This window comes from Homo sapiens, chromosome 19, assembly GCF_000001405.40.
Source record: "Homo sapiens chromosome 19, GRCh38.p14 Primary Assembly".
Lineage (NCBI taxonomy): Eukaryota > Metazoa > Chordata > Mammalia > Primates > Hominidae > Homo > Homo sapiens.
Genome location: NC_000019.10, coordinates 45,289,921 through 45,305,812, shown reverse-complemented (window position 1 = coordinate 45,305,812; position 15,892 = coordinate 45,289,921). Strand labels below are relative to the sequence as shown.

The 15,892-nt window shown below is 52.0% G+C and overlaps 1 protein-coding gene across 3 annotated transcripts in view, besides 1 other annotated feature; it reads right to left on the bottom strand.

Annotated features, from left to right (window-relative positions):
- Positions 1-528: 528 nt before the first annotated feature.
- Positions 529-15,892, bottom strand: part of MARK4 (microtubule affinity regulating kinase 4) — a 54,014-nt gene continuing 38,650 nt past the window's right edge. For 2 of the 3 annotated variants that reach the window (NM_001199867.2, XM_006723307.5), the window contains 4 exons: positions 11,361-11,464; positions 7,859-8,137; positions 5,958-6,002; positions 529-3,439 (listed from right to left, as the gene is read on the bottom strand). In NM_001199867.2, coding sequence (NP_001186796.1) covers positions 3,103-3,439; positions 5,958-6,002; positions 7,859-8,137; positions 11,361-11,464 — 765 coding nt within the window. In that variant the 3' untranslated portion in view covers positions 529-3,102. Of the gene's footprint in view, positions 3,440-5,957; positions 6,003-7,590; positions 7,671-7,858; positions 8,138-11,360; positions 11,465-15,892 lie in introns of all 3 variants that reach the window. The other variant, NM_031417.4, reaches the window with a different exon arrangement.
- Positions 13,977-14,179: a silencer, noted in NCBI's record as "fragment chr19:45794892-45795094 (GRCh37/hg19 assembly coordinates)". NCBI's record gives its function as "represses an EF-1alpha promoter that drives an FKBP-Casp9 reporter gene in an ReSE screen in phorbol 12-myristate 13-acetate-treated (for megakaryocytic differentiation) K562 erythroleukemia cells {active_cell/tissue: K562(+PMA)}" and the evidence as "EXISTENCE:reporter gene assay evidence [ECO:0000049][PMID:32094911]".

Sequence of the window (15,892 nt, the reverse complement as noted above, 5' to 3'; positions counted from 1 at the left end):
TCCAATTCCCACCTCAATGTCTTTGACCAAGCTGTTTCCCTCTCCAATCTGTGAGTCTGAGCATCCCCATGAAGTCTTTAGGGATAGGCCTTTTGGAGAACTCAGTCCCAGGAAGGAACAGGAAAGAGGTGTGGTAGAGCAATTGGTGGAGGGAGAAGAGTTAATAGAAGTCAAGCAGTAGCTGAACATGCATTGGGTGTTGGGCACGTCAATCACCTCCACCCAGTCAAACAGGCCAATGTCTACGTTAACAAGGACACAGTCGGTGGGCCCCAAAAGACAAACGTTTTAGGGAAAAAAAAAAGTGAGGTGGGAGTAAATGGAAGAACCGACAAAGCCCTCAGGAACCTAAGGTGCTTTTTCAAACCTCAAGAGTCACAGAGATTAAGGGCCCTTGTAGTTCAATCTGCCCTCTGTTTTACAGAGGGGAAATTGAGGCCTAGGGATGTCCCCAAAAGTTCCCAGGGAGATTACTACAAGGAAGGTTAGGAGAGATTCTAAACATTAAGGTATGCAGAACCTGTGAGATGCTGTGATGTTCTTTACTGTACTGTCCCCAGTTGAAGATCCCAGCTCCACACCCAGAGGCTACATAGACCACACACGCCAGTGGGGACCTTCTGAGCCAGCCAAAGCCACAGTCCAGACACCTGTTACCAGGTCCTGCCCACTTTGCCTCACAGGACTCTCTTAAATCTATCTGCGCTCTCCCCATCTGTCCAGCCCCGACCTCTTTCCTGATCTTCTGACCTGTCAACTTCCCTCCCTTCCACCCTGCACATAGCACAAACCCGCCCATCTCTACCCTACCTACAACCTTGCCATGGCTCCCCCAGTGCCCTTGGAAGAAAGCCCAGGCCCCTGTCCATAACCTTCAAGGCCCTACTGACGCCCCTAGCCCCATACCTCACAGCAATTCTACACTTACAAAGTCACATGCCATTTGTTGAGGACCTGTCCTCTCTCTTGCTCCCTGGCCCTTGTATGTGCCATTTGCTGTGCCTAAAACGCACTCCTATCCATGTCTAGCTGGCTCCTTCTCCTCCAGGAAGCCCTCCCTGGCTGAGGCAGGCATCACCTCTGGACTCCCCTATACCAGCCCTGCCCAGTCGCTGCCTGAGGACACATCTGCCTCCTCCATTGGACTGTGAGCTCTATGAGGGCAGTGTTGGGGCTGTCTTGATTACCACTGTGTCCCCAGCACAGAGGATGCTCTCAGGAATTGACCAAGCCTCTTCCCTGAAGTTCCCTGAACTTCCATGGTTCCCCAGTGCCATGGGGAGAAAGTCCAGCTTATTCATTTTGGCCCCAAAGGTGCTGTGTGAATAAGCTCCGCCCTTCTGTACTGCACAGACTTCAACCACTATAATCTGTCCAGCTCCCATGCCTTTTCTCCTGCTCATGACACTTGACCTTCCTTTGAGGAACCCCTACTAAGTGCAGCTCTGAGTCTGGCCACTCTAGAGTCACAGTGATTGGTTTAGAGAAAATCACATGGCCCATTTGGGCCAATGAGAGTCTGCCCTGGGACTTTTGCTGGGAAACTGACAATGAGGGTCTTTCTGCTGCAGAAAGCTGGAGGGATAGAAACTTCTAACTGCTGAAGTCATCTGTGCCACCAGGAAAGGAGCCCTTACTTGATAAAAATTACTAGAATTCAACTTACACTGAAAAAATAGATGCAATGGCCTGATGCCTGGATCAAACCTACCTGAAGCCAGGTGCCCCTGGACTATTAAGTAACATAAACCAACAAATACCTTTTTGCTTAAGCAGCGTAGATGGATTATTAGTCCTAATACAGCATTTCTCTTGCTGATTCTCCATCCATGCCCAACACAGCAGCCACACTGAAATTACCCAGTTCTCTGAAGATATACCACATACTCCCACTTCTGGGCTTTTGCCCAGGGCAAACTCAATGCCTAACTAACTCCTACTCATCCTTCAACACCCCATTCCAGCATTAATTCCTCTAGAGCATCTTCCCCAATGACCCCACCCTGCCCACTTTCTCTTCTGGGCTCCCCAAGACAATGGTTTGTCCGGTGTCTGTGTCAGAATCCCTGTCTCCCACAGACAGAGCTTCATGTCTCTGTGTCCAGCACTGGGCCTGGCATGGAGTAGGCATGGGTCAATGATTGTTTATTGAATAAATTTACTACTGGAGTAAGAAGTGGCTTAGAGTCCAGTGTAACATGGTGGCTGGGAGTGTGAGTGGATGAATGGGGGGCCCGATATAGGAACTGGGGCCTCGGGGATGAGGCCGAGTTCCATCCTGCCTTCTTCCACGACCATCCTTACCTTCCCACCCCCACCGCTCCCATTCTGCAGATGAGAAAACCGAGGCTCCGAAAGGAAAAACCACTGCCTGGATTCCCACGCCTCTTCTTTAACTCATTTGCAGGTGAGGGCAGGGAAGGAAAATCCTAGGGTCAGCATTGGGGAGGGGGGGACTCTCTTAAATTTATTGGGCAACAGGCTGCAGGTGAGGGGGCTGACAGGAGGAGGGTCGGGGTGTAATAACTTAAAAACCGTAGGTGACAGCGGCAGCTCCTCAAGAGACCTTTGCAGAGGGGAGGGTGTGGGGTATTTACAAGGATTTGTACAAAGTGCCCCGCGCCAGCCTGGGGCAGGAAGTGGGGGTTTGAGCGTGAGGGGACGGGAGGGGAAGGAATCTGCCTCTCTGACCCCCACTCCCAGTCCCCCAGATTCTCCAGTCTTTAGGCTCAGCAGCTCTCCCTGCCCCTGCCCAAGGCCTAATTTTGAGCTGTTGGGAGGAATGGAAGATTTCCTCAGTTTCCCTCCCTGCCCCTGCCCTGTCCCCAAAGTCTCCTCAGGTGCCCTCTTGGTAGGGCGAGGGAGGACAGGACTGGCTGGAGGCTCCAGGAAGGTGCCAGCTCCCCCCGCTGAGCCCCCTCATCCTTCTTCTGTGCTGAGCGGCCCCAGAGAACAGCAGAGGGGACAATCTTTGCCCCCAAATATAATTCAGGGAAACTGAGGTGATGATAAAGGGAGAATCCCCTCCCTGGCCCCTTCCCCTCCTGTAGAAGTGAAGGCGACAAGGGAGAGGAAGAGTAAGGGCCCTGGGACCGTGGTGGCTCAGAGCTCGAGGTCGTTGGAGATGCGGGTGACGAGGGTGCGGAAGGCCAGGGCGGTGCCCGCCACACGGCGGAAGAGAACTCCCCGCAAGCCTGGCCGGGGCAGCTGGCAGACCTCCACTTCGAAGTGGGACAGGGGCTCGGGCCCGCCCGCACCCCCGTGCAGGCAGGCCAGCAGGAACGGCTGTGGCTGGCGGCAGCGGCAGCGGGCGGCTGCTGTGGCCTGGCGCAGAGCTGCCATCAGGGCCTCAGGAGGGCGCGAGCTGGTCAGCTTCACACTCCAGGGGAATCGGAGCAGCCGGGGGGCGGTTTCCGTTTGATCCCAAGGTAGATGGCAACTGAGGCGAGAAGATGTCAGGGGTCAGAGATGGGAGCGAAGAGGAATGTGGTGGAGGGCTGAAGGGACAACTCTTCCCAATTCGGGACACATTCCTAGCCATCCCCTCAAAAAACATCTTCCCCTGTTACCCCAGCGACAGTTTCAACTGGATACAGAGCTGCCCAGCTAGAGACCACACTTTCCAGCCTCCCTTGCAACCAGGTGTGACCTTGTCTGTAAATTCTGGGACATGAGCAGAAGTGAGATGTGCCATCCACATCAGTTCCTTCAAAGAACCTGCATGTGCCAGGCTCTCCTGTCCCACATCTCCCAGGAGCTGGACTTAGCAGTGGCACAGGCCAGCCTCAACTGTGAAGATGACAAGGGCTCCAGGGAATCGGGATGCAATAACCTGGGGACCTGAATGACCGCATAGATCACAGTGGCCTTACCAGCCTGGCTTGGCCACATGGTTTGAATGTTTGAATGAGAAATTTCTTTTTCCTTTTCTTTTTTTTTTTTTTTTTGAGACGGAGTTTTGCTCTTGTTACCCAGGCTGGAGTGCAATGGAACGATCTCGGCTCACCACAACCTCCGCCTCCTGGGTTGAAGCGATTCTCCTGCCATAGCCTCCTGAGTAGTTGGGATTACAGGCACGCGCCACCACGCCTGGCCCCAGCTAATTTTTGTATTTTTAGTAGAGACACGGTTTCACCGTGTCAGCCAGGATGGTCTCGATCTCCTGACCTTGTGATCTGCCCGCCTCGACCTCCCAAAGTGCTGGGATTACAGGTGTGAGCCACTGCGCCCGGCTTTTTTTTTTTTTTTTTTTTTTGAGACAGAGTTTCGCTCTTGTCGCCCAGGCTGGAAGGCAATGACACAATCTTGGCCCACTGCAACCTCTGCTTCCCGGGTTCAAGCAATTCTCCTGCCTCAGCTTCCCAAGTAGCTGGGAGAACAGGCACCACGGCCAGCTAATTTTTGTATTTTTAGTAGAGACGGAGTCTCACCATGTTGGGCAGGCAGGTCTTAAACTCCCGGCCTCAGGTGATCCACCTGCCTTGGCCTCCCAAAGTGCTGGGATTACAGGCGAGAGCCACAGTGCCCGGCCACTTCTTAGTTTTTTTGAGACAGGGTCTTGCAATGCAGTAGTGCAATCACAGCTCACTGCAGCCTCGACCTCCTGGGCTCAAGTGATCCTCCTGCCTTGGCCTCCTGAGTTGTTGGAATTACAGGCATAAGCCACTGTGCTCGGCCTCTGGGGGCTTTTTGATTGTCACATGTCTTAGGATGGGAGCACTGCTGGCACTGACTAGGTTGGGGATGGGGTAGGTCAGGAATGAAAAACATTCTCCAATGTGCAAGAGGGCCCTGCACAACAAAGAAACGTCCCGCCTGAAGTACGAGAGTGCTGCTCTACATGAGCATCCCAGGACTAGCCTCCCTTGTTCCGGTGGGGCCGCCCCTCAGCTTGGGTGAGCACGACTCAGCTCTGCCAATGATAGCATTCTACTTCCCGGCCACTGTGCTTGGGTCAAGGGTGACCACATGACCAGGTCTGACCAACCAGAGTACTTCTCCTCTCTGGCTGCAGGCATTGGTTTAGGAATGAGCATGTGACCAAGTCCCAACCAATGAGAGTCAGCCCTGGCAGTTTGTTGCAGCTGCTGGGAAGGCTCCGGTTTCCACTTGGGTCTCTAAACCGGGAACTCAGACAAAACCAGGGCTTGGCAAACTCCAGTGCTGTCTGCTTTTGTAAATAAAGTTTCATTGGAACACTGCCATACCCATTTGTTTTGTGTTGAATATGACTGCTTTTGCACTACAATGGCACAACTGAACAGGCGTGACACAGGGTGCCTGGCCCTCAAAGCCTAAAATCTTCATGATCTGGGTCCGTACAGATGTTTGCCTCCTGCTGGCCCTGAGCTGCCAGCAAACATTGTGCCATGACTGGATGAGAGGCAAAAGGAGGTGGGGGCATTGACCAGAAGAGGAGTTGAGTTGTGGATGGGATGAGGCTTTTTTTTTTTTTTTTTTTTTTTTTTCAGACGGAGTTTCACTCTTGCTACCCAGGCTGGAGTGCGATGGCACAATCCAGCTCACCGCAACCTCTGCCTCCCGGGTTCAAGCGATTCTCCTGCCTCAGCCTCCCGAGTAGTTGGGATTACAGGCATGCGCCACTACGCCCGGCTAATTTTTGTATTTTTAGTAACGACGGGGTTTCTCCATCTTAGGCTGGTCTCAAACTCCCGACCTCAGGTGATCTGCCTCCCTTGGACTCCCAAAGTGCTGGGATTACAGGCTTGGGCCATGGCACCCAGCCGGAGGCTGAAGTTTAAGATGATCAAGGGAAGGTGCTTGGGGTTGGGTGGGAATGAGAGGAGCTGGCAGAGAAGGCTGGGGCCACAGGGCATTTCAGGAAGTTGGCCTTGCAGGATGAGACTGGGGCCCCATCTAATGCCCTGGGGTAAGTGTCGGGAGGTGCTGAGGCAGGAGAGGGGAAGTGGCAGTCAGGGGTAGGCCCAAGCACTCACCTTGTGACCTCAGGTCCCCCGATTCTCTCAGGTTCGTCTGCGACCCTAGGGGAGGGGAGGGGGACAGAGTGTCTAATCTGGACATAGGGAACCCACCTCCCGCAACCCACTGCCTCTGGGACTCCAAGCAGCCCCTGCCTCAACCCCAGTCCCTCCGGGCTGGTGAGGGCCTGGAGTCAGGATTTGATCTCCTTGTCCATCCCCATAACGGGGCTCATTCTGAAATGGTTAGTGCAGGTCACAGGAAAGATACTGAAGAATGTGGAAGATGAAAGGGAGGGGAGTGGGCAGAGACACACCCTTACATAGATAAGTGGCCACAGAGAGAAAGAGAGAGACACACGCACGTGTGCACACACACACACTCCCTCGCTCACATATACATTCATGCTTTGCTCAAACAACACCTCCTTCGTGAGGCCTGCCCTTTTTTCTTTTTTTGAGACAGAGTCTCACTCTGTCATGCAGGAGTGGCGTGATCTCAGCTCGCTGCAGCCTCAACCTCCCAGGCTCAAGCAATCTTCCTGCCTTGGCCCCTGAAGTAGCTGGGACTACAGGCGCGTGCCACATCTGCTTTTTGTTTTTTGTTTTGTTTTGTAGAGATGGGGCTTTGCCACATTGCCCAGGCTGGTCTCAAACTCCTGGACTCAAGTCATCTGTCCAAAGTGCTGGGATTGCTGGCCTGAGCCACCTCATCCAGAGGCCTGCCCATTTAATGCTGCACCCCATCCCTTCCCCACACCCCTTATTCCCCTCCCTGTTCAATTTTTTTTTTTTTTTTTTTTTTTTTTAGAGACAGGTTCTCCCTCTGTTGCCAAGACTGATGATCATAGCTCACAGCAGCCTTGACCTCCTGCGTTCAAGTGATCCTCCTGCCTCGGCCTCCCAATTCCATGGGAATACAGGTGCAGTCACCACGCCCGGCCAATTTATTTACTTTTTTGTAGAGATAGGATCTTGCTACGTTGTCCAGGCTGGTCTTGAACTTCTGGGCTCAAGTGATCCCCTCGCCTCAGCCTCCCAAAGTGCTGTGATTACAAGCATAAGCCACCAAATTTGGCTCCTACTCTATTTTTCTTCTTAGTTACTTCGCACTACCTAGCAGTCTATATAGTAAGTATATTTTACTTATTTCTTTGTTTTTTGTCTAGATCCCTTAGTAGAATGTTGGGTCTGCCAGGGCAGGAGTTTTGTACATTTTGCTCACCCTCTACTACAGGGCCTAGGACAGTGCCAGGCACACAGTAGGGGCTCAATGAATAATAGCAATTAATAACTAATACACATGTAAAGCACTTTCCAAGGCAATGTTCTACGCTCAGTCCATACGTCACTTCATTTAGTCCTCACAATAACCCTAGGAGACAGGTATTGTTATTACTATACCCATTTTACAGAAGAGGAAAACCAGGCCCAGAGACCTTGAGTGACTTGCTCAAGGTCACTTGGCAGAGCTGCCATTTGAACCCCCGAGTCTGGCTCCATAGGCTGTGCTTCTGTGAGTAAATGAACAACCAGACCCCACGCACAGACCCTCACATCCACAGAGCCCCCTCCCAATGCCCGCACACACAGGTCAGACATGCAGGCAGGGAGGCAGAGCCAGCGAGAACAGGGCATGGACGGGACTTACTGATCTTGGATCCCTGGGGCAGAGAGGCGCCCGAAACACAGCGGTTAGAGTTCTGCCGTTTAGAGGGATCGAGGGTAACCCTGCAGTGTGAGGAGGGAGGTGAGGGGTGACAGGGGAGGAGGAAAGGAGGAGGAGGAGGAGGAAACGAGGAGGAGGAGGAGGAGGAAGAGGAAATGTTGGGGTACAGGAGACAGAGCAGAGTGGAAGACAGGTTAGGTCCCATCGGCCCCCCGCCCCGCCCTGCCCCTGCCATCCCCGCGGAGCTCACCTTCGGGTCAGTTTGGAGGTCAGCTTGGTGAAGAGGTTGGTGGTGGGGCGGGGCCGCCCGGCGGGCAGGGGTGCAGCCTCATGGGCCAGTGTGGGAGAGGCAGGGGGCCCATTCTGCACACCCCCACCACCCCCACCCCCTGCCCGCCGGTCCCGGACCTGGCCACCATGGAAGGTGCTGCGGATGGTGGAACCACGTGCCAGGCGGCTCCGCTCCCCTGATGGGGGTGCCAGGCTGTGACTGGAGGGGGAGGCAGGGGGCACCCGTGGGGTGCCTGAGCTGTGGGCAGAGACAGACAAGTCAGGGTGGGGGACTGAGGCAGGCCAGGGCCCCAGTCCCTTTGATTCTTCACATTCCTGTCCTGAGACCAGGGACTGCAACCAGCCTGGAACTCAGAGACAGGGCTGCAACGTACAGTTGTGCAGGCTGTGCACTATACAATCCTAGCATTATTTTACTGACTCTCTCCTCTCCTATTACCCCTCCTTCAAACTGTCCCTTCTTCAAACTCTACCCGCTCCAAATCATCTCCTATCACAACTCTCCTCTCTCTAAACGCAGCAACTGAATAGATGCACAGACATTTTTGGGTGACTTCCTTGCTATTTGCCGAAACCTCAGGAACCAAATCAACTTGGCAAACACTTTGCTATCTGAACTCTCACCATCTAAAATCAGGAAAGGGATAGATGTAAAGGTCAAGGATACCTGTATTCACTATGGTAATCTGGGCAGTGGGGGTTCCACTGTCCCAGGACCCTCCTCCAGCCCCTCGGACCCTCCTAGTCGACAGCAGGGGCCAGACCTCCATCTCCTGAGTTCAATTCTCCTGCCTCACCCTCCTGAGTAGCTGGGATTACAAGCGTGTGCCACCATGCCTGGCTAATTTTTTTTTTTTTTTTTTTTGAGACAGAGTCTCACTCTGTCACCTAGGCTGAAGGGCCATGGGGCAATCTTGGCTACTGCAACCTCTGCCTCCTGGGTTCAAGTGATTCTCCTGCCTCAGCCTCCTGAGTAGCTGGGACTATAGGCATGCAGCACCACGCCTGGGTAGTTTATGTATTTTCAGGAGAGATGGGGTTTCACCATGTTGGCCAGGCTGGTCTCAAACTCCTCACCTCAGGTGATCCACTGGCCTTGGCCTCCCAAAGTGCTGGGATTCCAGGTGTGAGCCACTGCGCCCAGCCCAGACCTCCAATTTCTATCCTCCCAGGGACTCCAGGCCCAGCCTGGATCTCAGAGAAGAATCCTGATTGTGGCAGAGGCTGTTACTTCTCCCTTAGAATCCATCCTCCCTGTTTCGTTCTTGGTAACCAAACCCCTAAGAGTATGAGCACTGCACATGGCCACCCAGCCAGAGACTACATTTCCCAGACTCTCTTGCAGCTAGAGATGGTTATGTGACCATGCTCCGGCCAATGGGATATAAGCAGAAGTGCTCTGTACCATCTCTGGGTGACGCCTTTACAAAGAGTTGTTGCTTGTCCCCTACTCTTTCCCCACTTCTTCCTGATTGGGAAATGATGGCTGCTGGTGCAGCGGCCTCAGTCCCAGAGCTGGAAACTCATTTTGGGGCTGGAAGAACTTACCTGGGTCCTTGGAGGACCCTCCGGACTAAACGTCCTTTTTATTTAAATTACTCTACCCTGGGATCTCTTTGTTTTTATTACAGCAGCTAGCTGAGTCTATACTTTTTATTTTTTGTTGTTTTTAAATTTTTTTTTAATTTTTGATTTTTTTTGTCTGAGTCTGTAATTTAACTGTTCCACTATCTCTTGAGCAGAACTGGAAGGCCATGTACTACAGTGATTACAAATAAGATTCTGGAGTCAAGTCTGGAATCTGCTTCTTGACTTACCAGCTGTGTGGCCTTGGATAAGTTACTTAACCTCTCTGTGCCTTATGTCCTCAGCTGTAAAATGGAGATATTAGGATCTACCTCACAGAGTTGTTAGGGGCACTGAGCCAGGCAATAGACATAGAAGCCTGGCATGTAGCTGCTGCTTCATGAATGTTCACTATTGTTATTTGATAACCACCAAAAAAAAGCACTCTCAAGTCACTGAATGAAGGCCTCCTAAGCATCAGACCCAGTGCCAGGTACAGGACACACCTGATCTCTACTGCATCTCTATAATGGGGCCTGGAAGTGGACAGCATCAGCCCTTTTTTTTATGAGACGGATTCTTGCTGTGTGGCTCAGGCTGGAGTACAGTGGCGCAATCCCAGCTCACTGCAACCTCTGCCTCCCAGGTTCAAGCGATTCTCCTGCCTCATTCAGCCTTCTGAGTAGCTGGGATTACATGCACATGACATCGTTCCTGGCTAATTTTTGTATTTTTAGTAGAGACAGGGTTTCATCATGTTGGCCAGGCTGGTCTCGAACTCCTGACCTCAGGTGATCTGCCCACCTCGGCCTCACAAAGTGCTGGGATTACAGGTGTGAGCCACCATGCCCGGCCAGCATCAAGCCCATTTTACCGAGGAGGAAACAGAGGCACAGGGATTTACCCGGTCATTCTGCTAGCAGTGTGAGCACAGAGGTAAGATTCGAACTCAGAACTGAGTATTCACAGAATCGTGACTTTTTTTTTTTGAGATGGAGTCTCGCTCTGTTGCCCAGGCTGGAGTGCAGTGGCGTGATCTCGGCTCACTGCAAACTCCGCCTTCCAGGTTCACGCCATTGTCCTGCCTCTGCCTCCAGAGTAGCTGGGACTACAGGTGCCCACCACTGCACCCAGCTAATTTTTTTTTTTTTTTGGTATTTTTAGTAGAGACGGGGTGTCACCATGTTAGCCAGGATGGTCTCGATCTCCTGACTTCTTGATCCACCTGCCTCAGCCTCCCAAAGTGCTGGTATTACAGGCATGAGCCACTGTGCCTGGACAGATTTGTGACTGTTAACTACCCCATTCCTCTGCCCACACCCAGTGGGAACACCTGCACCCACTAATCAGGTGCATCCCAGAGTGTGCCCTGGTGTTGGCCATCAACCTGCCCTACAGCCCTGGTGGGGGGCAGTGTCCTCATCCTGGAGCTGGCCCCATTCTAGCTGGCCTTGACCTGTGATGTGAACCAATCCCTTCCCTCTCTCTGCTCCAGCCAGTCTGAACTGGTTTCCCTCCCTTGCCAGCTGGAAGAGACCTCACAGACTCAGGCCAACAAGCCGGAAAACCAGCCAACCAGATGACGCTGAAGCTGTGACATTCTGGGGCTTCTCTCGAGTTCTAAAAATGGATCATTCAAAAAATCAATTCAGGTTCCCAAGGCTTGTAGGCGGAGAACAGGGCCAACTGCTTTCCTGGTGCTTAAGACTAATTAATTAAGTGGGGAGGATTTTCAGGGGGGTACATGGGTCGATTCTGCCAAGGGCAGGGCAGATACACTCACTCTCTGGTCCCCATGGCACCAGCCTCCAATGCCTATCATCTCAGATCAAGGGAGGTCCTGTTCACCTACCCCCTACTTCCCACCCCTCACCCTGTTGCTGCCCCCTCCGTACCTGTTTTCTTTCCCATTTGGCAACAGTGACGGGCGCTCAGCCCCCGGGCGTTCTGTGCAAACGTAGGTGTTTCTGCGGGTCATCATGCTAGGAGGGAGGTTGTTCTGCAGGAGACACAGCCAGGAAGGGAGTGAGGGGGTGAAGACATGCCCCTGAGCTTCTCCCTCTTCCCTTCTCTGCCCTCCCCATCGATGAATAAGTCAGGGGCTCATGTGGGAACCCAGGGTGAGTAGGAGATGGTGAAAGGTCCCAAAGATGTGAAAGGTTCATGAGTAATCCCAGCCACCGAGGCTGAGTCAGGGGAGACCCCTGGAGACCGGAGAAGAGGGGGGCACTGAGGGAAAACGAGGCAGGGAAGGTTTCCAGGGGGCATCCTTGTCCACCGCTCTTCTCCCAGCAATGCCCACCTTCTTGAGGTCCAGCCCAGCCACACCAAACGTTTGCTAATGTACTTATTCATGCCACATTCTGTCACTGTGACTAGCCTGTGCACTGGCTGTCTCACCTGTTAGAACATTACTCCTACCTTTTCCCCTGACTCACTCCTACATATCTTTCAGGTGTCAGTTCATAATCTACCACCACCCCCGGCCCCAGGCTGAGTCACGTGCCTCCTCCTTTGGGTTCCCACAGGCCCCTGGGCTCCCCACTGCAGCTTCAATCACTGTGCTGTCAATGTCTGTTCTCATATATGTCCCCATCCCATACTGGGCTGTGAGCTCTGGGAACACAGGGAATATCAGGATTATGCTGCCTCATAAACATGTTAGGAAGAGAGCCCTCTTTTTCTATTCTCTGGAAGTTTGTCTAAGGTTAGTGTTATTTCTTCTTTAAGTGTTTGGAAGAATTCCACTGGTGGGAGTCATCCAAGCCAAAAATTTTCTTTATAGGGAAGGTTTTCAGTTACGAATTCAATTTCTTTAACAAGAATATAAGACTGTTCAGGTTTTCTATTTCTTCTTGTGTCAGTTTTGATACAGTGTGTTTTTAAAGTAATGTGTCCATTTCATCTAAGCTGTTAAATTTATTGGCACAAAGTAGTTCCTAATATCATCTTACTATCTTTTAATGTTAGAACAAAGTTCCCCTTTTCATTGTGGATACTGGTGATTCATGTTTGCTGTCTTTTTTCCTTAATTGATTTTTACCAGGGGTCCATTGGATTTTATTTATTTATTTATTTTTTTGGACAGAGTTTCACTCATTTTGCCCAGGCTGGAGTGCAATGGCATGATCTCAGCTCACTGCAACCTCCACCTCCCAGATTCAAGTGAACCTGCCTTAGTCTCCCGAGTAGCTGGGATTACAGGTGTGGACCACCACATCCAGCTAATTTTTTGTATTTTTGGTAGAGATGGGGTTTCACCATGCTGGCCAGGCTGGTCTCAAACTCCTGACCTCAAGTGATCCACCCGCCTCAGCCTCCCAAAGTGCTGGGATTACAGGCATGAGCCACCACGCCCAGACTGATTTTATTAATCTTTTCAAAAAACCAACTTTAGGTTTTGTTGCTTTATTGTACCTCTTCTTTCTCCTTCACTGATTTATTCTCTTTAATGCCTCCTCCCTTCTACTTTTTTTGAGATGGGGTCTTGTTCTGATGCCTAGGCTGGAGTGCAGTGGGGTGATCATGGCTCACTGCAGCCTCGACCTCCTGGCCTCAAGTGGATCCTTTCACCTCAGCCTCCCAAGTAGCTAGAACCTCAGGCATGTGCCACAACACTTAGCTAATTTTTATTTTTGGCAGAGACAGGGTCTATGTTGTCCAGGCTGGTCTTGAACTCCTGGGCTCAAGCAATCCTCCTGCCTCAGCCTCCCGAACTGCTGGGATTACAGGCATGAGCCACCAATTCCGGTCCCTTCTACTTTCTTTGAGGTTTATTTGCTTTTCCTTTTTTACCTTCTTAAGGTGTGGGTTTCGTTTAGCAATAACAATAGCTCTCATTCACTGAGTGCTTACTGTGCCAGTATGTGAAGTACTTCACGTATGAGATCTTACAAGATCCTCACAATGACCCAGGTTCTTTAATGAGCCCATTTCACATAGTGAGATATCAAAGATCAGAGAGGTGAAGTTACTTGCCCAAGGTCACACGGCTCATTAATGTAATTCAAACTCTACGTGGCTTCAGAGTCCCGGCCACTTTCTCAAACTGCCTCCACCCTTTTTCTCTTTTTTAAGAGATAGGATCTCACCATGTTGCCCAGGCTGGTCTCGAACTCCTGGCCTCAAGCAATCCTCCCACCTCAGCCTCCCAAGTAGCTGGGACTACATGTGTGTGCCACCATGTCCAGCTCTGCCTCCACTCTCCTGTTCCTATGTTGAGGATATTTTCGTACTTTGCTGTTCTTGGGAACTCAGATGCAAAAAAGCCAAGTCCTACATTTCCCAGAATCCTTTGCAGCTCAGGTTCTGCATATAAGTTGGGTTCTGCCAATCTTTGCATTCATGAAGATTTGGAAGGTGGAAATGGGGCAGCAGCTGCTCTCCTGCCTGCTTTGACTTCAGCTCACACAGGCAAGGCTATGAGATGAAGGTCTTTGCTTCAGCAGGGCCCCAGTGCCTATTGTCCAGCCCTCTGGGCATCAAGAAGCTCTTCTGATGGAGGATGAAGTTTTTGAGTCTTGGGTTACAGCCATGACAATGTGGTTTTTTGTTTTGTTTTGTTTTGAGACAGAGTCCCACCCTGTCACCCAGGCTGGAGTGCAGTAGGGCAATCTCAGCTCACTGCAACCTCCGCCTCCTAGGTTCATGCCATTCTCCTGCCTCAGCCTCCCGAGTAGCTGGGACTACAGGTGCCCGCCACCAAGCCCGGCTAATTTTTTGTATTTTTAGTAGAGATGGGGTTTCACCGTGTTAGCCAGGATGGTCTCGATCTCCTGACCTCGTGATCCGCCCGCCTCAGCCTCCCAAAGTGCTGGGATTACAGGCGTAAGCCACCGCGCCTGGCCCTAATTTTTGTATTTTTTGTACAGATGGGATTTTGCCATGTTGGCCAGGTTGGTCTTGAACTCCTGACCTCAAGTGATTCACCGCCTCGGCCTCCCAAACTGTTGGGCTTACAGGCATGAGCCACCATGCCTGGCCTAACAATGCACTCTTGAATTCACCAGTGCTGGGGCAGCCTCAGAAGGAGCAGCTCCCTTGGTGGGTCAGTTCTGTGGTGTGGTTGTGACTGTTGTTCCTACAAATCCCACCCATTGTCCGCTCCTCCAGTCCTTCCTACAATTTTGTTTTCTTTTTTCTTTAACCACCTCATCCTCTCCTTCTTTGGCCCTGCCGCTCCCATCCATTCTCTGGGTTGTGGATCATTCTCTGACACACGGGCCTCAGAGGCTGCATTGTGAAGCTCCAGGTCTCGGGGCTGGGGAAGAGCCAAGGGGCATGAATTTGTACTTATCCGGAATACTCAGGACACACAGGCATCCCGGCCTCCCTCCTGTGCCACCTGCCTGAAGTTGAGCTGATGCCTTCAAGATCTGTTTCCCCAAGGCCCTTCTGCTGTTAGGTAGCCAGTGAGCTGTCCTCAGGTGCACCCTCTCCTGGCCCATCCCCACGGGGTTCCCTCACAACATTCCACTCCCCTCCCTGTACTGACCCCGGGCTCTGCACAGCCCTGGAGTCCAGGGCCCTGAACCTGGACTAGCAGTCCTCACAGGTGGTGGCAGGGTCACAGCTAGCCAAACCAAACACAGCCGGTCATTGCCAGTTGCTGCTGGCTACTGCTGGTCATGGCCAGACACTGCTGGTCAAAGCCTGTCACAGCCAGTTAAGGCTGGTCATGGCCAGTCACCAACAGTCAGGGACAGTTAAAGCTGGTCATAAGTGGTAATAGCCAGACACCACTGGTCACAGCCAGATACCGTTGGCCAAGGGTTGTCACGGCCAGTCAAGGCTGGTCAAAGCCGGTCACAGTCAGTTGCTGCTGGTTAATACTGGTCATGGCTGGACACTGCCAGTAAAGGCTGGTTAATGCTGGCCACAGCTGGCTGCCACTGGTAACAGGTGGACACTTGTGGTCAAAGCTTCAGTGGGGCCCTGTCAGGCACTGCCAGTGAAGGCCAGTCACAATCAGTCAAAGCCGGTCAAGGCTGGTGAATGCTGGTAACAGCCAGACACCACCAGCCACCACGGCTGGGTGCCTCCTGATGGTCAGGACCTCTGGAGAAACACCCCTACCTCGCAAACAGCCATGCAGTGAGACCTTGGTTTGCCTTGGGTGTTTAGAACCAAAATAAACTGGAAGTACCCAGGGGCACCAAGAGCACTAAGAAGAAGTTAAAAAGATGAATGTTCTCAAGAACGTACGAGAAAAATTAGTATTTAAAAACTTTTTTGTTTGTTTCTTTGAGACAAGGTCTCCCTCTGGAGACTCCCAGGCTGGAGTGCAGTGGCACGATCTTGGCTCACTGCAACCTCCGCCTCCTGGACTCAAGTGATCCTCCTCCCTCAGCCTCCCAAGTAGCTGGGACTACCAGCACGTGCCACCACCACACCGGACTAATTTTTCTATTTTTTGTAGGGAAGGGGT